This window comes from Homo sapiens, chromosome 1 (genome assembly GCF_000001405.40).
Source record: "Homo sapiens chromosome 1, GRCh38.p14 Primary Assembly".
Lineage (NCBI taxonomy): Eukaryota > Metazoa > Chordata > Mammalia > Primates > Hominidae > Homo > Homo sapiens.
Genome location: NC_000001.11, coordinates 54,530,288 through 54,558,009, shown reverse-complemented (window position 1 = coordinate 54,558,009; position 27,722 = coordinate 54,530,288). Strand labels below are relative to the sequence as shown.

The 27,722-nt window shown below is 47.2% G+C and overlaps 1 protein-coding gene and 1 pseudogene across 2 annotated transcripts in view, besides 1 other annotated feature; both read right to left on the bottom strand.

Moving 5' to 3' along the window:
• The window catches only part of ACOT11 (acyl-CoA thioesterase 11), a 90,965-nt gene extending 81,183 nt beyond the window's left edge, over window positions 1-9,782 (bottom strand). For both annotated transcript variants that reach the window (NM_015547.4, NM_147161.4), the window contains exon 1: window positions 9,668-9,782. In NM_015547.4, coding sequence (NP_056362.1) covers window positions 9,668-9,700 — 33 coding nt within the window. In that variant the 5' untranslated portion in view covers window positions 9,701-9,782. The remainder of the gene's footprint in view (window positions 1-9,667) is intronic.
• Window positions 15,562-15,981: a silencer, noted in NCBI's record as "silent region_920". NCBI's record gives its function as "represses an Ori minimal core promoter by ATAC-STARR-seq in GM12878 lymphoblastoid cells {active_cell/tissue: GM12878}" and the evidence as "EXISTENCE:reporter gene assay evidence [ECO:0000049][PMID:35858748]".
• On the bottom strand, window positions 20,059-21,270 carry HNRNPA1P63 (heterogeneous nuclear ribonucleoprotein A1 pseudogene 63; annotated as a pseudogene).

Genomic DNA, 27,722 nt, shown 5'->3' with positions numbered 1-27,722 from the left:
GATGAAAAAGAGTCCTCCACTGAACAGGGAAAAGTTGAAAGCTTTTCATCTAAAATGTGGGATAAAACAAAGATGCCCACTTTTACCACTTATATCCAACGTAATACCGGAAGTCCTAGCCAGAGCAATTAGGCAAGAGAGAGAAATAAAAGGCATCCAAATTGGAAAGAAGGAAGTTAAATTGTCCCTGTTTGCAGATGTCATAATCCTATATATAGAAAACCCTAAAGCCTCCACTAAAAAACTGGTAGGAATAATAAATTCAGTAAAGTTGCAGGATACAAAATCAACATACAAAAGTCAGTAGTCTTTCTATATACTAATAGCAAACTATCTAAAAAAGAAATCTGGAAAACAATCCCATTGACAATAGCTACGAAAAATAAAATAAAATAAAATACCTGAGAATAAATTTAACCAAGGAGGTAAAAACCAGGAGTGGTGGCTCATGCCTGTAATTCCAGCTACTCAGGAGGCTGAGGTGGGAGGATTGCTTGAGCCCAATAGTTTGAAACCAGCCTGGGCAACATAGCAAGACTCTATCTCTTAAAATGTTTTTTTCAGTGCACACAAGGGTAGATAAATAATTTAATTTTTTTCTTTTTTTTTTTTTTTTTTGAGATGGAATCTTTCTCTGTCACTCAGGCTGGAGTGCAGTGGCATGATCTCGGCTCACTGCAACCTCCGCCTCCCGGGTTCAAGCAATTCTCCTGCCTCAGCCTCCTCAGTAGCTGGGATTACAGGTGCGCACCACCATACCTGACTAATTTTTGTATTTTTAGTAGAGATGGGATTTCACCATGTTGACCAGGCTGGTCTCGAACTCCTGACCTTGTGATCTGCCTGCCTTGGCCTCCCAAAGTGCTGGGATTACAAGCGTGAGCCACCATGCCTGGCCTAAGTATAAAAATTTTTTTTAATTTTTTTAAATAAAAAATCTGCCAGGTGTGGTGGCACATGCCTGTAGTCTCAGCTACTTGGGAGGCTGAGGCAGGAGTATCATTTGAGCCCAGGAATTCATAGCCACAGTGAGCTATGATCAGACCACTGCGCTCCAACCTGGGCAACAGAGGGAAACACTGTCTCTTAAAAAATAAATAAAGGAGATGAAAGATCTCTACAGTGAAGACCAGATGCGATGGCTCACGTCTGTAATCCCAGCATTTTGGGAGGCCAAGGTGGGCGGATCACCCAAGGTCAGGAGTTCGAGACGAGCCTTGCCAACAATGGTGAAGCCCTGTCTCTACTAAAAATACAAAAATTAGCCAGGCATGGTGGCACACACCTGTAATCCCAGCTACTCGGGGGACTGAGGGAGAAGAATCACTTGAACCCAGGAGGCAGAGGTTGCAGTGAGCCAAGATCATGCCACTGCACTCCAGCCTGGGCTACACAGTGAGACTCTGTCTCAAAAAAAAAAAACTCTACAATGAAAACTATAAATCATTAATGAAAGAAATTGAAGAAGATATAAATGAAAAGATCCCATGTTCATGGATCAGAAGAATTATGGTGACAATGTCCATACTACTCAAAGTGATCTACAGATTCAATGCAATCCCTATCAAAGTGCCAATGACATTCTTCACAGAAACAGAAAAAACAAGCCTAAAATTCATATGGAACCACAAAAGACCCCAAATAGCCAAAGCAATCTTGAGCAAAAAGAACAGAGCCAAAGGCATCATACTGTACTACCTGATTTCGAAATATACTACAAAGCTACATTAACCAAAACAGTATGGTAGTGGTATAAAAACAGACAGACATATAGACCAATGGAACAGAATAGAGAGCTCCAAAATAAATCTACACATTTACAGCCAACTGATTTTCAACAAAGGTGCCAGAACACACATTGGGGAAGGGACAGTCTATTCAACAATTGATGTTGGGAAAACTGGAAACCCACATGTAGAAAAATGAAATCAATCCCTTATCTCTCACTGTATAAAAAAATCAGGCCAGGTGCAGTGGCTCACACCTGTAATCTCAGCACTTTGGGAGACTGAGGCGGGTGGATCACCTGAGGTCAGGAGTTCGAGACTAAGCTGGCCAACATGGTGAAATCCCATCTCAACTAAAAATACAAAAGTTAGTTAGGCGTGGTGGCATGTGCCTGTCATCCCAGCTACTTGGGAGGCTGAGGCAGCAGGAGAATCACTTGAACCTGGGAGGCGGAGGTTGCAGTGAGCCGAGATCATGCCACTGCACTCCAACCTAGGCGACAGAGTGAGACTCCATCTCAAAAAAAAATAAAAAATAAAAAATAAAAATGAGTTAAAGACTTAAATGTACGACCCCCAAACTACAAAATTACTAGAAGAAAACATAAGGGAAACACTTCATGACGTTGTGCTAGGTAAGAATTTTTTGGATAGGGTCTCAAAAGCACAGGCAACAAAAGCAAAAATAGATGTGATTTCTTTATACCAAAACACTTCTGCACAGCAAAGGAACCAATCAACAGAGTTAAGAGACAACCTACAGAATGGGAGAAAATATTTACAAACTATATATCTGACAAGGGGTTAACATCCAAAATATACAAAGAAGTAAAACAACTCAATAGAAAAAAAAATTAAAATGGGCAAAAGACCTGAATAGGCATTTCTCAAAGGAAGCTATACAAATGTCCACCAGGTATATGAAAAAAATGCTCAACATCACTAATCATCATGGAAATGCAAATCAAAACCACAATGAAATAGCATCTCATACCTGTCAGAATAGCTACTATCAAAAAACCAGAGCCAGACGTGGTGGCTCACGCCTGTAATCCCAGCACTTTGGGAGGCCAAGGCAGGTGGATCATGAGGTTATGAGTTCGAGACCAGGCTGACCAACATGGTGAAACCCCATCTTTACTGAAAATACAAAAAATTAGCCAGGCATGGTGTCGCAATGTCTGTAATCCCAGCTATTTGGGAGGCTGAGGCAGGAGAATCACTTGAACCCGGGAGGCGGAGGTTGCAGTGAGCCAAGGTCGTGCCACTACACTCCAGCCTGGGCGACAGAGTGAGACTCCGTCTCAAAACAAACAAACAAACAAACAAAACCAGAAGACAATATGTGTTGGCAAGGATTTGGGGAAAAGGCAACCTTTTGACACTGTTCATGGGAATGTAAATTGGTACAGCCATTATGGAAAACAGTATGGAGGTTCCTCAAAAAATTAAAAATAGAATTACCATATGATCCAGCAGTCCCACTACTGGGTATATAGCCAAAGGAAATGAAATCAGTATATTGAAGAGATACCTCTACTCCCGTGTTTATTGCAGCACTCTTCACAATAGCCAAGACATGGAACCAACTAAGTGTCCACCAGTGGATGAATGGATTTTTTTAATGTGGTATAAAGCTGGGTGTGGTGGCTCAAACCTGCAATCCCAACAGCCAAGGGGAGAGGATAGTTTGAGGCCAGGAGTTCAAGACCAGCCTGGTCAACATAGAGAGAACCCATCTCTACAAAAACTTAAAAAAAAAATTAGCTGGGCACAGTGGTGCATACCTCTAATTCCCAGCTACTCAGGTGGCTGAGGCAGGAGGCTTGCTTGAGCCCAGGAGCTCGAGGCTGCAGTAAGCCATAATTGCACCACTGTATTCCAGCCTGGGTGACAAAGCAGGACTCCATCTCAAAAAAAAAAAAAAAAAATATATATATATATATATACACACACACACACACACACACACACACACACACACACACACACTATGGAATACTATTCAGCCATAAAAATAAAATAAAATCCTGCCATTTGCAACTACATGGATGAACCTGGAGTATGTTATGGTGGAGTTTTTTTTTTTGTTTTCTTTTGTTTTTGTTTTTGTGTGTGACAGGGTCTGGCTCTGTTGCCCAGGCTGAAATGCAATAACTTCAGCTCACAGCAACCTTCACCTCCCAGGCTCAAGCCATCCTCCCACCTCAGCCTCCCAACTAGCTGGGACTAGAGGCGCGTGCTACCACACCTGGCAATTTTTGTGGTTTTTGTAGAGATCGGGTTTTGCCATGTTGCCCAGGCTGGCCTCGAAGTCCTGAGCTCAAGCGATCCGCCCATCTCAGCCTCCCGAAGTACTGGGATTATGGGCACGAGCCACCTCCCCCAGAGTATGTTATATTAAGTGAAATAAGGGCCAGGCACAGAAAGACAAATACTACATGACCTCACTCAGACATCAATCTTAAAAAGTTGATTTCATGGAAATAGAGTATAATGCTGCTTATCAGAGGCAGGGGTTGTTGGGGGGATGGAGAGATCTTAGTCAGAGGATGCATAATTACACTTAGGAGGAATAAATTTCAAGAGATCTATTATACAGTAAGGTGATATGGTTAATGACAATATATTGTATTCTTGAAAAATGCAGAGTAGATGTTCTGCACTATCACCAAAAAAATGAAAACTATGTGAGGTAATGTATCTGTTAATTAGATTTAGTCATAACATAATGTATACGTACTTCAAAACATCATTTGTACATGATAAAAACATAGAATATTACCTGTCCATTTTTTTTTTTTAATGTTTTTTTGAGACAGAGTCTTGTTCGGTCACCCAGGCTGGAGTGCAGTGGCGCGATCTCGGCTCACTGCAACCTCCACCTCCCAGGTTCAACTGGGCACATCCAGCTTATTTTTGTATTTTTAATAGAGACACAGTTTCTCCATGTTGGTCAGGCTGGTCTCAAACTCCTGACCTCAAGTAATCCACCGACCTCGGCCTCCCAAAGTGTTGGGATTATAGGTATGAGCCACCATGCCTGGCCCATTAAAAAAAAATTTTTTAATGAGGTAATCATTCCCTTATGCTATGCATATTAAAATAAAATTTTGGAGAGCAAAAAAAGAGTCCTCCAGATAAATTAAGAACACTGGCCGGGCATGGTGGTTCACGCCTGTAATCCCAGCACTTTGGGAGGCCTAGGCGGGTGGCTCACCTGAGGTCGGAAGTTCGAGACCAGCCTGACCAACATGGAGAAACCCCATCTCTACTAAAAATGCAAAATTAGCCAGGCATGGTGGCACATGCCTGTAATCCCAGCTACTTGGGAGGCTGAGGCAGGAGAATCGCTTGAACCTGGGAGGCAGAGGTTGCGGTGAGCCAAAATAGCACCACTGCACTCCAGCCTGGGCAACAAGAGCGAAACTCCGTCTCAAAAAAAAAAAAAACAAAACAAAAACAAACAACAACAACAACAACAACACTAAGAGTGGGCCGGGCATGGTGGCTCATGCCTGTAATCCCAGCATTTTGGGAGGCCAAGGCAGGCAGAACACCTGAGGTCAGGAGTTCAAGACCAGCCTGGCCAACATGGTGAAACCCCGTCTCTACTAAAAATAGAAAAAATTAGCCGATGGCACGCACCTGTAGTCCCAGCTACTCAGGAGGCCGAGAAATGAGAATCGCTTGAACCAGAGAGGTGGAGGTTGCAGTTAGCTGAGATGGCACCACTGTACTCCAGCACTCCAGCCTGGGAGACAGAGTGAGACTCTGCCTCAAAAACAAACAAACAAAAAAAACACTAAGAGTGTCTGCCCATGGCTGAGGCTGGGGGTTCACATATGGCTCCTGAACAGGCTGATGCTACATGTTCAAGTCTCACCTCTTCCTCCAGGAAGCCTTCTAGGACCACCTCAGCCTGCTTCTGAGCACCTGTGGTCACTCATTCATTCAGCAGTTTTGGGACTCCTCGTATATGATAGGCCCATCATTTTATGTCTAAGGTCTCCCCACCTCCAACACAGAGTAGGGTCCTCAAGAGAGACGGGACCCTGCCTCTCACTGTCAGGATCAACTTCATGGTGGCAGACAAACCCTTCACAAACATTCAGAGCCCCAGGATGTCCAGGCTGGTGGGGACCTCAGGGATCACCCAGCACCCTAAGGCCTAGAGAGAGGAACCCCTGGCCAAAGGTCACACCGTGAACCGTGGGGTGAACATCCAACTGTTGTGCCTGAACCTCCCCACACTCTGGGTTAGACCCCTTATGAAGCTGAGAGGTTGTGGGGAGCCCTCCAGCTGTCCTCAGGTTCAAGGTAAAACAGTAGGATTGCATTGTGTGGTTGGAGGCTAATACAAAAATTAGCTGGGTGTGGTGGTGGGCACCTGTAATCCCAGCTACTCCGGAGGCTGAGGCAGGAGAATTCCTTGAATCCAGGAGGCAGAGGCTGCAGTGAGCCAAGATTACACCACCGCACTCCTGGGTGACAGAATGAGACTCCATCTCAAAACAAAAACAAAAACAAAAACAAAAACAAAAACAAAACAAAACAAAAACAAAAACAAAACAAAAACAGCCAGCCCCATCACCATTTCTGGAGTAAAAAAAGCTTCTGAGCCCCACTGAGAGCTGACCTGGGCCAGGCTAGACCTGAGGCTGGGCAGAGGTTCCCAGGCTTCCCAGGACCCTTGCCCACCTCCTACGAGGGCACCAGTGGGTCCCTGCTAGCCCAGAAATGTGAGACTCAGTGCCCAGTGTAGACTGACATCTTGGAAAGGGAAAGAAGAGCTCTCCACGGGGAGAGGCAAGGATTGAAGCGGGACAGGGAGACCTTTCCCGCACCACCACACTGCACTCAGCAGTTCTCCCAGCCCCGAGCGTGGCAGCAGGCTGACCACTTCATTCAGTCGCCCACTCACTTGCTGGGTACCCAGGGGCGAGTAGGGACCAGAGCCCTTGAACTCCAATGCTGACTCTGTCTACAGTGCCACAGGACACTGAAAATGGCCCCCAACCATGCAAAGTGGGGCTTGTGGATTATCTGAGACCCCCTCTTCTGTTCCCAGTTTAGTCCCTATTAAAGACAATTTGGTGAGTTTTTTGTTGTTGCTGTTGCTGGTTTTTTTTCTTTTTTTTTTTTTTTTTTTGAGACCACTGTCGCCCAGGCTGGAGTGCAGTGGTGTGATCTCAGCTCACTGCAACCTCTGCCTCCTGGGTTCAAGCAATTCTCCTGCCTCGGCATCCCGAGTAGCTGGGACTATAGGAGCATGCCACCATGCCCAGCTAATTTTTGTATTTTTGGTAGAGATGGGGTTTCACCATGTTGGCCGAGCTGGTCTCGAACTCCTGGCCTCAAGTGATCCACCCGTCTCGGCCTCCCAAAGTGCTGGGATTACAGGCATGGGTCACCACACCCAGCTTGGTGGGGTTTTTTGTTTGTTTTTGTTTTTGTTTTGAGACAGGATCTCACTCTGTCATCCAGGCTAGAGTACAGTAGCATGATCTTGGCTCACTGCAGCCTCCGCCTCCCAGGCAGGCTCAAGTGATCCTCCCACCTCAGCCTCCCGAGTAGCTGGGTCCACAGGTGCACACCACTATGCCCAGCTATTTTTTTTTTCGTATTTTTGGTAGAGATGGGGTTTCACCATGTTGGCCTAGCTAGTCTCAAACTCCTGAGCTCAAGCAATTCACCTGCCTCAGCCTCCCAAAGTGCTAGGATGACAGGTGTGAGCCACCACAGCTGGCCAGGGATTGTTTATTTGTTTGCTTGTTTGCTTTTCATTAAAAACAGCTTTGGTACCAAGCCAGAAAATGTTCCCAAACCCTCTTGTATTCCAGAGGAACTAAGGGAATTCAAGAGAAATCCAAAGAGATCTGCCATCCAGACAATGGTGCAGAGGTGGCAATCAAGGCCAGAGTGTTCTTAGCTGACAGGAGGCTACCTGTGTCCTCAAGAGCCCAACTTCCACTCCCAATACCCACCTCCACCCCCAGACTCAACAAAGGTAGTGCAAGGAAGCTGAATGCCAGCTGGGCTCAGAGTCAGGACGTGTGGGTTGGAATCCCACATCTGCGCCTTCATCTGGCTGAGCCTCAGGCTCCTTAAGAGCTCAGACTCTGGGGCCAAACTGCTGGGTTCTAATCCCAGCTCTGCCACTTCCTACCAGTGTGATCTTGGGCAAGTCACTTACCCTCTGTGAGGGTCCTTATCTGGGATACGGGGATGATAACTGTACCTACCTCATAGAGAACTGAATGAGTTCATAAATGCAAAGAGCTATGTGAAGATTTGTTACTATTGTTATCTCTGTAAAACAGTGATAACGATATGCCTCTTCCCCAGTGCCTTGCCCCCAGTTACTGATGAAGGAAAAAGTCATAAAGGGTTAAATACAACAGGGCACAAGAGAAGATACGAGGAGCCCCTCCCTCCTGGGAGACACTCTGCCCTGCACTCAGGTGACAAGAGCAAGCGGCCCTGCTACTCAGATCCCACCCTTAGCCTCGCTGCTGAAAAGCTGCCTGTCCCCATTCATTCATTAAGCATTCCCTGGCCTCTGGCCACACCCGTCCCCGTGCTGGGTATACCAAGAGCAGCCTCGTGTTGCTCCCTGGCTGGTGGGAGGGATGTATGTGCCAGTCTAGCACACAATCCAGTGTGAAAAGGGGCTAACACAGAGGCTCATGGTGTCATGAGAAATCTGAGAAGGACTTCCAGAGGAGGCAGCACCTGAGCTGAGATCTGAGGGCTCAGAAGGAACTTGCTGGGGACACAAGTTTGGGGAGATGCAGGAAGGCTGGGGGTAACTCCGGCAGAAGACATAGCAAGTACAACAGCCTGGAGGAGAGAACAAAAGTGGGACACCGAAGCCGCGGAGAGCAGCTCACTATGGCTGAAGCAGGGACAGCAGAGGGGTGGGGATGGTGGAAGAAAAAGGGAGGCATGGGCAGGAGCCAGAGTGCCAACATCCCTTCGTCTCAAGTAAGGGATGTGAAAATCATCCTCGGGTAGCCGTGTGAGCAGGTGAGGAGTCAGCACATTTACTTTTTAGAAGCATCCCTCCAGTGTGGAGAGTGGACTGAAAGGGGCTGACATGGAATGGGGGAGCCAGGGGAGACAAGATGCACAGGGCCCGGTGAGGATGCTGAGTTGTGCAGTGGCTGTGCAGATGGAGGGAGAGGATAGATAAGACATTTAATTGTTCCAGCCCCTTTAAAAAAAGGCTTTTCCTGAAAATATCCTCAGAGGTCAGCCTCTGCCAGTCTTACAACCTCTGCCAGTCTGTCCTGAGCCCATCTCCATACACTCCATCCACTGCCAGGCGCTGCTGGGCACTTGGGTCTGCCGTGTGCCTCAGCAACTAATCTCAGCTCCAAAGCGCAGGGAAAAGTTCTCTTCAAGGTCACCTTGCAGGACAGCTTTCCGCAGCCGTCATGTGATCCTGTGCTTGCTCTCCCCAAGAGGTTCTGCTCCCCAAGAACGCCGACCTCACCCCACCACACATACTCACTCACACCCATACCTCACACCCTGTCACTCCCATCAGCTTTGTGGCTTTGGGGTCCTGAGCTCTGAGCATGAAGCACCACAAGGCCATGGAGCTCAGACATCCCCCAGAAACATACACAGAACTCTGCAGGGAGAAACATACACCCACCGAATAGAATTCCAGAGGCCGACACTTGCTGAAGGTGATTCCACTCTACACAGCCAGCCCGTGGGGGATCTGACAGCCCCTGGGGCTTGTTTGGAGATTGCTGCTGATAATAAACCAGCCCAGGGGTTCTGCGATTTCTCCTTCCAAAGAGAGCTAGAAAATGGCCCGTGGAGAGTGTGAGGAGATGCAGAGCGTCTGAGTTAAAATGGAAACATCAATCTCTTTCTGGGTGCCCAGCTTCCAGAGCCCTCCCGCTGCCCCAGCCCACCCTCCATACCCGTCGCAGGTGATTTCCGACATTCTGGATCATCGCGCCGGGTGGCCGGGGAAAGCAGCGCCCTCCCAGAGACACAAGCTGGTCACCTGAGCAACAGCCAGGCCTGACTCCAAATGAAGCCTGTGGGCCTCTCCTGCTCCTCCTCCCCAGCTCCCGCCCGCCCACCAGAGCCAGCTGTTATCACCCCGCGTCCCGCCTCTCTTCAGACTGCCCTCTACCCCCCTTCTCCTAGGAGCCCTGCACAGAAAGCTCCAGTGCCCGCCTAGCGGAGAGGAAGGACGAGGCTGCCAGCTAGGCCACAGCCACGTCAAGGGGCCTGTGCCCGCCCACTGGGCACCCAGCCCCAGCCAAACTCCAGGCACCCCCAGTCCCAGAGCTCATCATCCTGCCAACAGTGTCTCTTGGCTCTGTGATCACTCCCAGGGAAGGGGGCTGGTGGGGGTCCAGGTCCCTGATCCCAGCCAGCAGATGGGCAAAACAGCCATGAGGCTTCCATCCGTCCACAAGGGGTCAGGCTGGAAGGTGGCAGGAGGCCAAGGAGCTGCCAGCAACCTCCCGGAGAGATACCAGACCCACCTGCTAGGATTCTTCACCCCGGGAGCGCTGCCCACCAGCTCCTCAGCTCCAGGCCGCAGGCATCCAGCAGTTGCTGGTTGGGGACAGGACACACCCCTCACTTCCTTTAAATAGGCAGTGTGACTTTTCTAAAAGTGGCACCTGCCAAATTCCACCCCGATGGCCACACAGGCTTCAGCCCCTTGGGGCACCCACTCCAGTTTCTCTCTAGCCACCACCAACTGAGAGACCACCAGGGTTTTCCCTTCTCCCTCTGACTTCTGCCCACAGGCTTGATCAGGAGGTCTTGACACTCACGTTGGACTAAGGACAGGACAATGAGTGCTTGGTGGCTAAGGGAAGTGGGGGGTGGGAAGTGGAGGGGCAGGGAAAGGATTCAGGCATGGGGGCTGGGATGGACAAGTAGATGGAAAATAATAGCATGCACCCCATAATAACCAAGCACCTGCCGTGTGACAGGCCTCGGGCTGGTCTTCCTCCAACCCCACTGGGAAGATTCCTTAGGAAGGGTACGTGACATGCCCCAGGTGGCACAGCCAGTGACAGCACAGACCAGCTGGGACAGACCCGCTGGATTCCGAGGGCACAGCCTTCCTTCCATCCTCAGGGCCTCTCGCTCATTCACCACAGATCTAATCATGCATCCTCCAGGCCTGTCTTGCCTAAGAAGCCTGAGTTCTCCTTCTTTCACTAGTGTACCATGTGACTCTGGGCAAGTTCCCTCCTTTCTCTGGGCCTCCCTGCTCCACAAGTCAAGGACTCTAATAATGTCCATCCCCATGAGCTCAGGCCTTGCCCTCAAACAGCTTGTTAGTGGTCAGCCATTCTGTGTCTACAAATGAGAAATTGAAGTCACACCTTAAAGACTGCAAGATGGCCCATGGATGGCCCTGAGGATTGGAGCAATCCTGGAGACTTCCTGGAGGAGATAGTGCTAGAGCTCGCCTGAAGACTGAATGGGCTTGGATAGGCTGAGAAGAGGGGTGAGGTGGAAGACCTGACAGGCGCAGAACAGGAGGCAGTCATAGGCCGTGAGGAGCATGGCCTTGCAGGAAAGCTGGGAACCTGTCATGGAGGGCTCGAATGCCAGACATTGGGCTTTAGGCATCAAGGAGCCTGTGAGAATGACAGAATGACGAGCACGCTCGACATGAGGAAAGCCACGTGAGGCGGACAGGACAGGTGTCATGAGACTTCCCTGGATGGTAAGGAAGTCAGCCCAAAGAGGGGATATCTCATCTTATGGGTCCCCAAGCTAACTTGACAGGCAGCCAGGGCAATTTCAGAATCCTCCCTCTGCAGAAGGAGGAATGAAAACCCAGAGAGCTCCTGGCTCCCAAGCCTACCCTCTCTCCAGACAACTGCAATGTCCCACACTCACTGGATTTGGCTCACCCCTGCATGTTACAGATGGCTAAACTGAGGCCCGGAGGAAAGTGAGGCTCCCAAAGACACACAGTGAGGAAGTTGGCTAGAATCACACCCCTGACCTCAAGTCCAGAGCCCTGTCCACCCCCCACACAGCAAGGCATGAAATGAGAGAGGCTTCAGTTAGACTTACGAGAGGACTTCCAGAAAGGCTGAATCAATCTTAGTGTTAGGAACAAGCAGCAGAGAGCTAGATCTTTCAACAGGTGCCCCTCCAACCCACAAAGGTCCCTCTCCTCTCTGCGCTTTCTATTACAGAGCTCACTCCTGTGTCGCCGCAACAGCTCTGTGCAGTCTGTTACTCCAGTGAATGTTCCCATGGGTGTCTGTCTCCCCTTTCCAACTCACCCACGAGCTCCCTGAGGGCTTGGACCACATCTTACCTATCTCTGTGCCCCCTCCCCACCACCCTGCAGACTTGGACACCATGTGCAGGAGGCATGAAACACACATGGCTGGATCACAGCCCTGAACGGGGATCAAGAAGAGGTCTGCGGTTCTCAAACTCCAGCCTGCACCAGAATCACCTGGAGGGCTTGTCAAAATATAGATTGCTGGGCCCTGTCCCCACAGTTTTTGATTCCATAGAACTGAAGCAGCACCCAAGAATTTGCGTTTCTAACAAGACCCCAAAGGATACCTATGGTCCAGGGACCGCGCTTGGAGAACTGGCGAGCTGGGGTCAGCCCTCCCATTTTACACCCGGGGACAATGAGGCCCAGAGATTTTTTGTTCTTTTTTTTTTTTTTTTTTTGACAGAGTCTCACTCTGTCACCCAGGCTGGGTGCAGTGGCGCAATTTCGGCTCACTGCAACCTCCACCTCCTGGGTTCAAGCGATCCTCCTGACTCAGGCTCCTGAGTAGCTGGGGTTGCAGGCACGCGCCACCACGCCCAGCTAATTTTTTTTTTTTTTTTTTGAGACGGAGTCTTGCTCTGTCGCCCAGGCTGGAGCGCAGTGGCGCAATCTCGGCTCACTGCAAGCTCTGCCTCCCGGGTTCATGCCATTCTCCTGCCTCAGCCTCCCGAGTAGCTGGGACCACAGGCGCCCACCACCACGCCCGGCTAATTTTTGTATTTTTAGTAAAGATGGGGTTTCACCGTGTTAGCCAGGATGGTCTTGATCTCCCGACCTCGTGATCGGCCCACCTCGACCTCCCAAAGTGCTGGGATTACAGGCGTGAGCCATCACACCCGGCCCTGTTTTTTAATATTTTTTAGCAGAGATGGGATTTCACCATGTTGGCCAGGCTGGTCTCGAACTCCTGACCTCAGTGATTTGCCCACCTCGGCCTCCCAAAGTGCTGGGATTACAGGCATGAGCCACTGCGCCCGGCCGAGGCCCAGAGATTTTAAAGGCAGCACTTGATAGTATGTCACTGTCATCATCATAGTCACTGTCATTATAACCCTATCATTATAGCCCTTTTCAATGCCCAGCACTGTGCACGCACATCGTGTATGTTATTGCCTTTAGGCCTCACCCTAAAAGGAAGATACTATGATTATTATTTTCCTGTAGAGGAAAAAATGGAGGCAAAGAGTATTAAGTCATTTGTCCAAAGTCACATCACTGGGAAGGGAACATCGGGATTTGAACCCTGATCTAAGTCCGAAGCCCACAGATTTAACCACCACCCTCCACAACCTGCTTATAGCTTATGCTGACCAGCCAGAAAATTCTCTAGGGGCTCCCAAATCCCGCAGGTTCATCTCTAATGTGAGGGGAGTTTGTGGTGACCTCAGCCCAAAGGCCCAGTCCCTAAGTGGGCCTCTGGGGAGTCTCACATTTAGAGAAAGCCTGCCTCTTCACACCTGTGAACCCAGAGGATTTTCTCTTTCAAACACTCATTTTCCCAAACTACAACCTTCTTCACCTGGCCCCATGGATCAGGCCTTTCTGGCTGGAGGCCAAACGTCTGCATTAATTCTTCTGGTCCATGTCTCAACTCGGCCTCCCCACTCAGTGACAAAACACAATGAAATTATCTCCATTTACATTCCACAGTGATTCTGGGTTGCAGCTGTCAGGCACGGATCTGTCTCTCCCACCAGACTGGGAGCTCACATGAGCAGGGACCTCTTCTGAATCATCTGAGTTCCCAGCACAAGGCTTGCCCAGAGGAAGGGTTTGGTGACTAAGTGAAGAATGAATGAATGAGTGGGTTTAAGGGCAAAAGAGGAAATGAATGAGTGAATAAAATAACCAATCTCCCAGGAATTCCCTCTCCTGGCTTTTTGGCCTTTCCAGACAGGACCACGGACTCTCTGGAGAGGAGGGACGTCTCACACCATCTACACCAACTTCCGCTTTCAGTACTGTCCTAGCTGAACTCCTACAGCTTCTACCAGAACCAACAGCTCCACACACACACAAGAGCCAGAAGGGTCTTGCCGTGACCGTGGCTCTGGGCTGCTCAGAACAAGGCTGCTCCTCTCTCCTGTCCTCCACTCAGCCCTGGCCTCGCTGTCCAGACTTCGTTCTTCTGATCCCCTCATGCCATGAATAGAACTGCCCACTGCTCCCTCACACCCCTGGTGTGTCCTTTGTTTCTGCTGTTCCCTCCACCCTGATGCCCGTTTAATAAGTCTACATCCAAACCGTGCCCGCCATCAAGGCCAGCTCAAATGTCACTGCCTCCAGGAAGCCTTCTTGGCCCCTCCTAAGTGGAATTACATTCTCCCCCTATGTGCCCCAACGCCTGTGCACACACAGACACACACACACACAACACACACACACTTCACAGCCCTTTCTCGGTGCATTTTCTCATAAATTGGACTGATTTGTGCTAATTCCCCCTTTTTGACCTTGAGCTAGCTGGCATCAGGGATGGGACTGGCCAATCAGAGTATCCTGGCCCCTCCCGCAAACACTCAGGGCCTTGAACACAGTAGATGCTCAGTAAGTGTCCAGAAAATGAATGAATGAGTAATTAACTGCAAAAGAATGAAGGAATGTATGAGTGAGTGAATGGAAGTAAACGCATGTGTAAATGCATGCTCAAATGAATGAGTGGACGCAAGAACGTTCTCATTCCCTCCTGTTCTCCAAACTAAAAACTCCCAGTTGCTCCTGACCCCTCCTAGGGGCCCCTTAGGCATGGCATGACAGAATAAAGGAAGTTGTGGGATAAATGCGGGGGAGAGGGACAAAGGAAGGAAGGACAGAGGAAGGGGTTAGTGATACCAGCACTAGAGGAAGTGGAGGTGACCTGGCTTCAAAACGTGGCGCTTCTCACAGCCACATTTCTTTATGGAGAAGGTGGGGCAAGGAAAGCTGTGAGAAACCGGGGGAGGGGGAAAGAAGTGTCCAGAGGAAAGAAGACACAGCCTGGTGGGGACGGAGGGCGGGAACGCCAAGTCCCGGAGGCCAGATTCAGGATGGATGAGCAGGCTGTGGGGCCCAGCCCTGAACGCATCCTGCCTAGGGGCCTCAGATATGCCCTCCCTCTCCCTCTCTCACCACCTCCTCCTGTGGGGACTGGAATCCCCTCGCTGGCCCAGCTGGCCGTCTGGACCCAGATTTGGCCCTGGCTCTCAAATCGCTCACAACAGGGGCTAGCGCTCCTCCCAGCCGCCCCGTCCGCAAATGAGTCAGCAGCGGCTGCACCCTCTGGCCTCTGAGTCTTGCGCCCCCAGGTCTTCTCCGGAGCCAGCCTCTGCGGCGCGCCGGGCCAGGTGACCACAGCCCGCCCCAACCCTAGTGAGAGACCAATCCCAGCGTAAATACCAGGGTGCTTCATGCCCCAGCCTGCAAGCAAGACCGTGCGAGGCAGCACCTGGCTGTCTGGAGGCCAGCGCCGGGGTACAGGCTGATCTCCCCAGGCAGCGTGCTGGAGCACAGGAGGAGCCCAGGAAACGGGGCCCTTCCCCCGCGCGGGGCGGGGAAGGGGCTCTTACCCAAAGGATGGGAGGCTCCGCCCCGGCGGCGTGCAGGGCCGAGGCCAGAGGAGCCCGCTGGGGGCGTCCGGGGAGCGAGTCCGCGGGGAGGGGCTCAGAAACAGGCCTCCGAGGTCCCCGAGCCCAGCCAGAGGCGGGAAGCTGCGGGCAGGCTGAAGGGAGGCGCGGAGGCGGCGGCGCTGTAGAGTTCCTGGACGGCTCTGCCCTTCCCCGCCCCTCCGGCGCGGGTGCGGCACCCGGGGCTGCCCAGGCTGCACATCACACAGGCCTGGGCCCCGCCGGCGCCAGGCTCCCCGCCCGCAAGGCGTCAATCCCCGGGCGCTGGGCGCAGGCGGAAACGCGGGCGGCCGCACCAGGCAAAGTCCGGGCGGAGCGCCCCTGAGCCGCCTTCTGCGATGCGGAGCCGGCCACTCAGCCTTCCAAAGGGATATTTGCTATTCGTTCACACCTTGACTGAGCACCTACTATGTGCCAGACCACGCACTGTGTCCTGGGATGAGGTTCTGAGCAGGATGCGCTGTGCTTGTCCTCATGGGTATTGATAGAAAGAGAAAAAAAAAAGTGGATAGTTTTGCACAGCACAAAGCAAATGCATACCACCCAAGATGTCTTTACTCAGAGAGAAGCTAGACTAGAGCTGGCAGATGCAGACGTGGTTGGTAAGAGATGGTGGTACCACTCCCTCCCCACCCCCCGTATGTATTGTTATGTAAGAGATGATATGAAATCTACAATGTGTGATCACGGGCTCAGAAGAGTCGCTCAGAAAAACGTCCATCAGGCCGGGCGTGGTGGCTCACGCCTGTAATCCCAGCACTTTGGGGGGCCTAGGCGGGTGGATCACCGGAGGTCAGGAGTTCGAGACCAGCCTGGCCAACATGGCGAAACCCCATTTCTACTAAACATACAAAAAATTAGCCGGGAGTGGTGGCGGGAGCCTGTAATCCCAGCTACTCGGGAGGCTGAGGCAGGAGAATTGCTTGAACCCGGGAGGTGGAGCTTGCCGTGAGCTGAGATCGCGCCACTGCACTCTAGCCTGGATGACAAGAGCGAAACTGTCTCAAAAAAAAAGAAAAAAAGAAAAAGAAAAACATCCATTAGTGTCATGTTTGGGATCTAGGCTCAGCTGGCAAACTTAGAAGGGGCCTGACAAAACACAGTGGTGGTCCCTTCTAAGAAGGAAGTGAATCCCCGGAGGAGGAGGCACTTGGCAGGTGGAGTACATTCAACACACCAGAACCAGGGATTCGGAGGGGGCTAGGCATTCCAGGCACCCACAGAGGCTGGCACCTGAACTCATCCTGCCCCCACAACTCTGGGGAGAAAAGGGCAATTTATGTACAAAGAGAGCAGCTGTGCTGAGCTTGGCCACCTGGGGCCCAAGCAGCCCTCCTGTGGAGGGCCTCTCGGTGTAACAAAAACGGAGGCCTTGGCTTTGTCACTTGCTTCCACCATCCTCTGAGAGCACGGTAAGGGTTCAATGTCATGGCAGAATGATGAACACCCCGTGCATGGGGCTTTGGCAGCAGCCTGGATGGCCACTCCAGCCATCTTTTGCTCAGCTGTCCTCATCAGTGTTGGAGCCTCAGCTCAGCAGAGGCCCCAGGTGTCAGCAACAGCAAAGTGCCGACGCTCCCGGCCGAATAAAAACCTCTTCCTTCTTTAATCCAGTGTCTAAGGAGTTTTGTCTGCAGCTCATCCTACTACAAAAGGACATCTTAGATCACTTTCCAAGTGCAAGTGAGGCACATGTGGGAACACCCAGAAACATATGGGGCAGGTGGACTGTGCTGAGAAGGGGAATTCCCACCCTGGCAAGATGAATCTGGTCTGTGTAAACCATGGTTTAATTTTAATGTGCCACTCTAATCAAGTGGTGAATCCTGAAAATACTCAGATTAACCATATTGGATACACTGTTTTGTAATCTGCTTTTTCTCTTAATTATCAAATATTAAACAATTATCTTTTCATGATTTTCTTTCTTTTTTTTTTTTTTAATCGTAGAGATGGGATCTACCCATCTGTCCAGGCTGGACTTGAACTGCTGGCCTCAAGTGATCCTTCCCCTTCAGCCTCCTAAAGTGCTGGGATTACGGGCATGAACCATTGTGCTGAGCCTTTCCATGATTTTTATTGCTACACAGTATTTCTTTATGTGGATCTACTTCAATTTATTTAGCCAATCTCTTTCCTTTTCTTTTTCTTTTTCTTTTTCTTTTTTTTTTTGAAACATAGTATCGCTCTGTCCCCAGGCTGGAGTGCAGTGGCACAATCTCAGCTCACTGCAACCTCCGCCTCCCGGGTTCAGGCAATTCTCCTGCCTCAGCCTCCTGAGAAGCTGGGACTACAGGTGCACACCACCATGCCCGGCTAATTTTTGTATTTTTAGTAGAGACAGGGTTTTACCATGATGGCGAGGATGGACTCGATCTCCTGCCCTCGTGATCCACCCACCTCGGCCTCCCAAAGTGCTGGGATTACAGGCATGAGCCACCACTCCCAGCCTGTTTTGTTTTTAATAGCTTTATTGAGATACAGTTACTAAACAACTGCACATATTTAAAGTGTGCCATTTGATGAGTTTTGATATACATACATAATATATACATATGCATATAAATTACATATGTATATCAAAACACACACATATATACATATGTATATATATACGTATGCATATAAATTACATATGTATATCAAAACACGCACACACTATATATATGCATATATATATGCATATATATGCATATATATGCATATATATATAGTGTGTGTGTGTGTATACATGTATATATGTATATATCTCCATCATCTCATTCATCACCATGTCAAGGTAATGAACATATTCATCACCCCCAAAGTTTCCTCATGGCCCTACACTGCCCACTTCCCCACATCCCCAAGCAAATAATAATCTGCTTCTGTCCCTAGATTAGTTTTCATTTTCTAAAATTCTATATAAATGGAATCATACAGTATGTATTATTTTTCTCTGCCTTTGTTCACTCAGCATAATTATTTTGCAATTCATATGTTTTGTTGCATATATCAATAATTTGTTCTCTTTTATTATTGCTGAGCAGAATGCCATGGTATGAATAGAACAGAATTGGCTTATCCATTCACCTATTGATGATGGATTTTTAGTTGTTTCTAGTTACTGGCTATCATACAAATAAAGCTGGCATGAGCATTTGTGTTCATATCTGTGTGTAGACATGTACTTTTTTTTTTTTTTTTTTGAGATGGAGTTTCACTCTTGTGGCCCAGGATGGGGTGCAGTGGCATGATCTCGGCTCACCGCAACCTCCGCCTCCCAGGTTCAAGTGCTTCTCCCACCTCAGCCTCCCAAGTAGCTGGGATTACAGGTATGCACCAGCACGACTGGCTAATTTTGCATTTTTAGTAGAGATGGGGTTTCTCCATGTTCGTCAGGCTGGTCTTGAACTCCCGACCTCAGGTGATCCGCCTGCCTCAGCCTCCCAAAGTGCTGGGATTACAGGCGTGAGCCACCGCGCCCAGCCGACATGTACTTTTATTTGTCTTAAATAAGTGCCTAACAATGGCATGTAGTCCCAGCTGCTCAGGAGACTGAGGCACAAGGACTGCTTAAGCACAGGAGCTCAAGTCTTGAGTAATAGACTCAATTGCTTGGGTCTGTTTTTGGACTCTGTACTTTGGTTCTGTTAATCTACATGTCTGTTGTTTTGTTTTGTTTTGAGATGGAGTCTTGCTCTGTCACCCAGGCTGGCATGCAGTGGTGCAATCGCAGCTCACTGCAATCTCTGCCTCCTGGGTTCAAGCAAGCCTGGTGCCTCAGCCTTCCACGTAGCTGGGACTTCAGGCGTGCACCACCACGCCTGGCTAATTTTTTTGTATTTTTAGTAGTGACAGGGTTTTGCTATGTTGGCCAGGCTGGTCTCAAACTCCCGACCTCAGGTGATCCACCTGCCTCAGCCTCCCAAACTATTGGGATTACAGGAGTAAGCCACCTCGCCTGGCCCTATATGTCTATGTTTAAGCCAATACTACATTTCCCCAATTACTGTACCATCTTGAAATCAGGTAGTGTAGGTCCTTCAACTTTGTTTTTCTTTTTCAAAGTTGTTTTGACTATTCTGAGTACTTTGCATTTTACTTAAATTTTATTATCAGCTTATCCATTTCTTTTTTAAAAGCCTGCTTGGATTTTGGTTGGGATTATGTCGAATCTATAGGTTAATTTGGAGAGAACTGAGATTAATAATTTTGATTGATGAACATGATATATCTCTCTATCTATTTAGATTTTCTTTAATTTCTCTCGGCAGTGTATTGTAATTTCAAGCTACAGGTCTTGCATATCTTTTTTTTAAGATGCATTTATTCAGCATCATAATCAGACTATTACATTTAGCAGTCAACAGCGTGGGTGCAAAAAAAAAATCTGCGTTAAAACCCTTTGTTGGAATGCTTTACACCTTCCACAGAACAGGAACTAAAATAACCTGTTAACACAATTAGTGACAAATACAGTCCTCAAGTTTTTCGCCCATAGACATAAGTATGGTCTAAACAATGTCTTCTTTGTAACGGCTAGGCCCTGGTAGGCTGAGTTCACAAATCTGTTGTAACCCGTAGCTTCCTGTCCCTTCTCTGGCTCTCCTCTCCTGCTAAGTTTTCTTTCCTGTCAGTAATTAAAATCTTCTGCCACTGGCATAGCTACTGTTGCTACTGGAACTGTCATAGCCACCTTGGTTTTGTGGTTAGGCAAAGTATTGGCCTCCACCACCATAGGGGCCAGAGCTTCTGCCTCCAAAGTTTTCTCCCTTCTTGGGTCCAAAATCTGAAGACTGATTGCTGTAATTGCCAAAATCACTGTAGCTTCCACCACTTCCAAAATTGCTTCCATCATTACCAAATCCATTATAGCCATCCCCACTGCCATCATATCCACCACCACCCTGGCTGCCACCAAAGCCACTATGACCACTAAAGTCTCCTCCATGACCAAAGTTGTCATTCCCACCAAAACCACCTCTACAACCACCACCAAAATTTCCAGAACCTGTTCGACCTCTTTGGCTGGATGAAGCACTAGCCATCTCTTGCTTTGACAGGGCTTTCCTAACTTCACAGTTGTGGCCATTCACAATATGGTATTTCTGAATGACAGTCTTATCCACGGAGTCATGGTCATCAAAGGTTACAAAGGCAAAGTCCCTTTTCTTGCCACTGCCATGGTCAGTCATGATTTCAATCACTTCCATTTTTCCAAACTATTGAAAATAATCTCTTAGGTGATGTTCTTCAGTGTCTTCTTTAATACCACCAACAAATACCTTTTTCACAGTTAAGTGAGCACCTGGTCTTTGGGAATCTTCTCTTGAGACAGCTCTCTTTGTTTCCACAACTCTTCCATCCACCTTGTGTGGCCTTGCATTTGTGGCTGCATCCACCTCCTCCACAGTGGCATATGTGACAAACCCAAAGCCCCTGGAGCACTTAGTGTTTGGATCTCTCAGGACCACACAGTCCGTGAGCGTTCCCCATTGCTCAAAATGGCTCCTCAGGCTCTCATTGGTTGCTTCAATGCTCAACCCTCCAGTGAGGAGTTTCTGCAGCTGTTCGGGCTCTTTAAGAGATTCTGACTTAGACATGATGGCAGGGGGAAGAGAGACTTTAATGATCCAGGTCTTGCGTATCTTCTGGCAGATTTGTCACTAAGTATTTCCCATATTAATACTATCATAAATGTACTTTTAACATTTCAATTTCAAGCAGAAGGTTGTAAGCATGTAGAAATACCATTGATTTTGGTATGCTGAGTATGTGTCTTGAAACTTACTAAACTCACATACTTTTAGCAGTATTTTGTAGATTCCTCAGAATTTTCTTTATAGATGACCATGTTGTCTGCAAATAGTTTTACCTCTTCATTTCCTATCTGCATGTCTTTATTTTTATTCATTTATTTATTTTTAGATTTCTCCCAATTTAGGAATATTTTATTTATTGTGTAGAGATTAACTCCCTTCTTCTTTATTCTGGATAAAATCTTCTTTATTCTGGACTTCATTATCACGGTTCCATAGTATGATTACACACTCCAGCATGACATTGAACAGAAGTGGGAAAAACAGGACATCTTTGCATTGTTCCTGATCTAAGAGAGAAGGGCACTCACTCTTTCATAATTAAGCATAACATTAGAGATAGGTTTTTTTGTAGATGCGCTTTAACAGGTTGCAGAAGTTCCCTTCCTTCTATTCCTAATTTGCTGCAAGTTTTTGTCATGAACAGATGTTGGATTTCACCAAATGCTTCCCTGTATCTATTGAGATGATCACATGGTTTATCCTTTTTAGTAAATTAACATGGTAAATTACACTGAATAATTTTCAAATATTAAACTAATCTTTCACTCTTGAGATTATGCATTGTGTAATGATGTATCTTACTTTCTATATATTAGTGGTGTTGATTTTTGTTAAAATTTTTTGCATCTATTTAATTATGGATATTGTTCTGCAGATTTCTTTCTTTGTAATATTTTTACCTGGTTGTAATATCGGGGTAATGCTAACCTCATAGAATGAGTTGGGAAGTGTTGCCTTCTTTTCAGTTTCCCAAATGACTTTGTGAATTGCTATTATTTATTCCTTAAATGTTTGATAAAATTCACCAGCAAAGTCATTATGTGACGTAATCTTCGTGGGAAACTTTTGTTTGTTTGTTTGAGACGGAATCTCACTCTTTCGCCAGGCTGGAGTGCAGTAGCGTGATCTTGGCTCACTGCAACCTCCGCCTCCCAGGTTCAAGCGATTCTCCTGCCTCAGCCTCCCAGGTAGCTGGGATTACAGGCACGCACCACCACATCCAGCTAATTTTTGTATTTTTTGTAGAGACAGGGTTTCACCACGTTGGCCAAGATGGTCTCAATCTCCTGACCTCGCCATCTGCCCTCCTTGGCCTCCCAAATTGCTGGGATTACAGGTGTGAGCCATTGTGCCCAGCCTCGTGGGAAATTTTTATACTACACATTCAATTTCTTATAGATATAGAGCTATATAAGTGACCTATTTCTTCTTGAATGAGCTTTGGTGCTTTGTATCTTTCTGTACTTCATCAAAAATTTCAAATTTATTGGCATAAAGTTATTCACAATATTTCCTTATTACCTAGTTAATGTCCATCAAATCTGTAGAAATCTATCATTTCTGAGATTGACAATTTATGTCTTCTTTCTTTTTCCTAATCAGCCATTTGCTCAATTTCATTAATCTTCTCAAAGTACCAAATTTTTGTTTCATTGATTTTTCCTATTGCCTTTTTGTCTTATGTTTATTAATTTCTACATTTATCTTTATTATATCCTCTCTTCTGCCACTTTCTGGTTTTGTAAAGACGGAAGCTTAGGTAATTTATAAGAGACCTTTCCTTTTTTCTAATTTAAGTGTTTAATGCTATATAATTTCCTCAAACACTGCCTTAGCTAAATTCCAAAGGAGTTAACTTTTTTCTTCTTCTTCTTCTTCTTTTTTTTTTTTTTTTGAGACAGGGCTGGCTCTGTTGCCAGGCCGGAGTGCAGTGGTGCAATCTTGGCTCACTGCAACCTCCACCTCCCAGGCTCAAGTGATCCACCTCAGCCTCCTGAGTAGTTGGGACTTCAGAGGTATGCCACCAGGCCCAGGTAATTTTTGTATTTTTTGTAGATACGGGGTTTTGCCATGTTGCCCAGGCTGGTCTCGAACTCCTGAGCTTAAGTGGTCTGCCTACCTCGGCCTTCCAAAGTGCTGGGATTACAGGTGTGAGCCACTGCATCTGGCCAACATTGTGTTTTCACTTAGATTGAAACAATTTCTTATCTCTCTTATGACTTCTTGACCCATGCGTTATTTAGAACTGTGTTATTTTATTTTAAGAATAAATTTAACCAATGAGTTGAAAGAGCTATACACTGAAAACTCTAAAAACATTGATGAAAGAAATTGAAGAAGACACAAATAAATTGAAAGATATCCCATGTTCATGAACTGGAAGAATTAATATTATTAAAGTGTCCATACTACTCAAAGCAATCTAAAGATTCAATGCAATCCCTATCAAAATACCAATAACACATGTTCTCAGTACAAATACATAAATATGTGAGGTAATATGTGTGTTAATTAGCTTGATTTGGCCATTCCACAATGTATATATATTTCAAAATATCATGTAGTATACCATAAATACATACGGTTTTTTGTTTTTTTTTTTTTTTTTTGAGATGGAGTCTTGCTCTGTTGCCAAGCTGGAGTGCAGTGGCACAATCTTGGCTCACTGCAACCTCTGACTCCCTGGTTCAAGCGATTCTCCTGCCTCAGCCCCCTGAGTAGCTGGGATTAAAGGCACATGCCACCACGCCCAGCTAATTTTTGTATTTTTAGTAGGGACGGGGTTTCACCATGTTGGCCAGGATAGTCTCGATCTCCTGACCTCGTGATCTGCCTGCCTTGGTCTCCTAAAGTGCTGGGATTACAGGCGTGAGCCACCACGCCAGGCCACATATGATTTTTATGTGTCAATTAAAAAAAAAAAACTAGGGCCGGGCGCGGTGATCACAGGAGATCGAGACCATCCTGGCTAACACGGTGAAACCCAGTCTCTACTAAAAATGCAAAAAATTAGCCGGGCATGGTGGTGGGCACCTGTAGTCCCAGCTACTCGGGAGGCTGAGGCAGGAGAATGGCGTGAACCTGGGAGGCGGAGCTTGCAGTGAGCCGAGATCGTGCCACTGCACTCCAGCCTGGGTGACTGATCCAGACTCCATCTCCAAAAAAAAACAACAACAAATAGGCTCTAGACTGTGTGCAATCTATGAACAATACAAGAGGACTTATTCATCTTGGCCCTAGCACCTGGCACCATATCCAGACCAAAGTGTGTGCTCAATAATGTTTATTGAGTAGCTTGTGGAGCAAGCGAGTCGAGCCCTAGACTGAAAGTCAAAAGACCTGTGTTTGAATCCAGTTCTGCCACTAACCAGCTCACTATGCTTGAGCCTACGAGTTTGAGACCAGCCTGAGCAACATGGCAAAACCTCGTCTCTACAAAAAAATCAAAAAAATAGCCGGGCGTGGTGGCACCAACCCGTAGTCCCAGCTACTTGAGAAGCTGAGGTAGGAGGATCACCTGAACCCAGGGAGATCAAGGCTGCAGTAAGCCATGATCACACCCCAGGTGACAGAGCGAGACCCTGTTTCTTTTTTCTTCTTCTTCTTATTTTCCTTTTATTTATTACATATACATACATTATAATCTCAACAATATAATTAAGAAAATTATTATTTTTTTAAAATTATTATTATACTTTAAGTTTTAGGGTACATGTGCACAATGTGCCGGTTAGTTACATATGTATACATGTGCCATGCTGGTGTGCTGCACCCATTAACTCGTCATTTAGCATTAGGTATATCTCCTAATGCTATCCCTCCCCCCTCCCCCCAGAGACCCTGTTTCAAAAAAAAAAAAATTGTATGCTACTTTTTTTTTTTTTTTTTTTTTTGAGACAGGGTCTAGCTCCGTCGCCCGGGCTGGAGTGCAATGGCACAATCTTGGCTTACTACAACCTCCACCTCCTGGGTTCAAGCAATTCTCTTGCCTCAGCCTCCTGAGTAGCTGGGATTACAGGTGTGAGCCACCATGCCCAGCTAATTTTTTTTTTTCTTTTTTTGAGACAGAGTCTTGCTCTGTCGCCCAGGCTGGAGTGCAGTGGCGCAATCTCAGCTCACTGCAAGCTCCACCTCCTGGGTTCACACCATTCTTCTGCCTCAGCCTCCCGAGTAGCTGGGACTACAGGTGCCCACCACCACGCCTGGCTAATTTTTTGTATTTTTTTAGTAGAGACGGGGTTTCACGTGTTAGCCAGGATGGTCTCGATCTCCTGACCTCGTGATCCACCCATCTCGGCCTCCCAAAGTGCTGGGATTACAGGCGTGAGCCACCACGCCTGGCCAAATTTTTGTATTTGTATTTTAAATGGCTTTTTAACCTAAGAAATATAAGCACATGATTTTCAAATTAAATATTATTGACAGATTCATAGTAAAAAGCAGTTCATCTATACCTCTCTCCCCTGAATGCTAGTCCTGCTCCTAAGACACAACCATTTTTTAGTTCTTTTAGCTATTTTTTCTAGTTGCCATTTCCATTTTTCAAAATAATGTGCTTACGCAGCAATTCCTTGCTTAATCAATTTTAAACATTATCTGTAGATGATCATCCATAATAGATAATAAATTAACACATACCAGCACCATAACTCTTCTCTCTCCCAACCCCAACAATGCTCCATCAGTGTTTTTCACTCCCTACCTTTGCAAATAAACTCTTTTCCATTGTTCCGTAATCTTAGATAATAGTGTGTGACTTCCCATTTTGTAAAATGAGGACATTAGGCCCCTTTCTTTCCCCTTTAACTTTCCTCTCCCCTTTCTACCTCTCTTACTTTGTTTGAACTTTCAAATTTTCAAAGTTGTTAACATTAAATTCTGTTCTATAACCGTAATTACATCTGCAAACCTTACTACAGATTGACCCTAATATACAGCATTTAATTTTTTTTTTTTTTTTTTTTTGAGACCGAGTCGCTCTCTGTCGCCCAGAGCTAGAATCTCACCCAGAATGGTGCAGTCTCGGCTCATTGCAACCTTCACCTCCCGAGTTCAAGTGATTCTCCTGCGTCAGCCTCCTGAGTAGCTGGGATTACAAGTGTGTGCCACGATGTCCAGCTAATTTTTGTATTTTTAGTAGAGACGGGGTTTCACCATGTTGGCCAGGCTGGTCTCGAACTCCTGGCCTCAAGTGATCAGCCCACCTCAGCCTCCCAAAGTGCTAGGATTACAGGCGTGAGCTACCTCGCCTGGCAGCATTTACATTATTATCAGCTATGAGAATAGCTGATAAATAACTAATTTATTTCAGAGACAAATTAGGTACTATCATTTCCCTTCCTTTCTTATAGAACAGTTTGTTTTTCCCAGAGTTTCTACTTTCTTTTCTCTTGTACTGTTTTCCTTAAGTTATTCTCATTCATTAGGTCTGGACAGTTGCACCTCTCTGTGCTCTGTCATGTCAGACGGTCTAACGGATCCCCTTTTTATCTTCTCAGACCCCTCCATCCTCCTAATCAATCTGGCCTGGTTGCTCTCTAAGCTTACTGGTATGGTGGTCATCAGTGCTGTTCACAAATACTCTCATTCATTACGTCTCATTCATTACCACCTTCGTTGGTGGTAAAGCATTGAGATTGTGGGGGTGTTTGTTAACTCTTCATAACCTAGCTTCTCCCAACTGACGTGGAAATTGGTACCAGAAGTGGAGTGGCACTGTAACCAAATCTGAAATATGGCCAGGCGTGGTGGCTCACGCCTATAATCCCAACACTTTGGGAGGCCGAGGCAGGCGGATTGTTTGAGGTCAGGAGTTCGAGACCAGCCTGGCCAACATGGTGAAACGCTGTCTCTACTAAAAATATGAAAATTAGCCAAGCGATGGTGGTGCACGCCTATAGTCCCAGCTACTAGAGGGCTGAGATGGGAGAATCACTTGAGCCCAGAGGGCGGAGGTTGCAGTGAGCCGAGATTATGCCACTGCACTCCAGCCTGGGCAACAGAGGGAGACTCCATCTCAAAAAAAAAAAAAAAAAAAAAAAAAGAGGTTAGCAACAGAACATTAGTAGTGTGTATTGGTTGCTGTTGGCTATATTTGACAAGGTACTCCAAAAATTATTAGCCTCAGAAAATAATTGGCCAGTTTACCAGCAAGAATGAAATCAAACAGAAAGAATCCAGACATCAGGATTTACAGGATTACTTCTCAATCTCAATCTATAGCTGATGAAAGTGAGGAGATTTTTGAGTGAAAAAGCCTAGGCAGAAGCAGAAGTATTGCCGTCACCCTCTTGTTAAAACCTCTAAGTGCGGCCAGACACTGGATCAAGCCTGTAATCCCAGCACTTTGGGAGGCCACGGCAGGAGAATCACTTAAGCCCAGGAGTTCAAGACCAGTCTAGGCAACATCATGAGACCCCCATCTCAACAAAAAAATTTTTAAATTAGCTAGGCATGGTGGCACACCTGTGGTCCCAGCTACTCAGGAAGCTGAGGTGGGAGGGCCCCT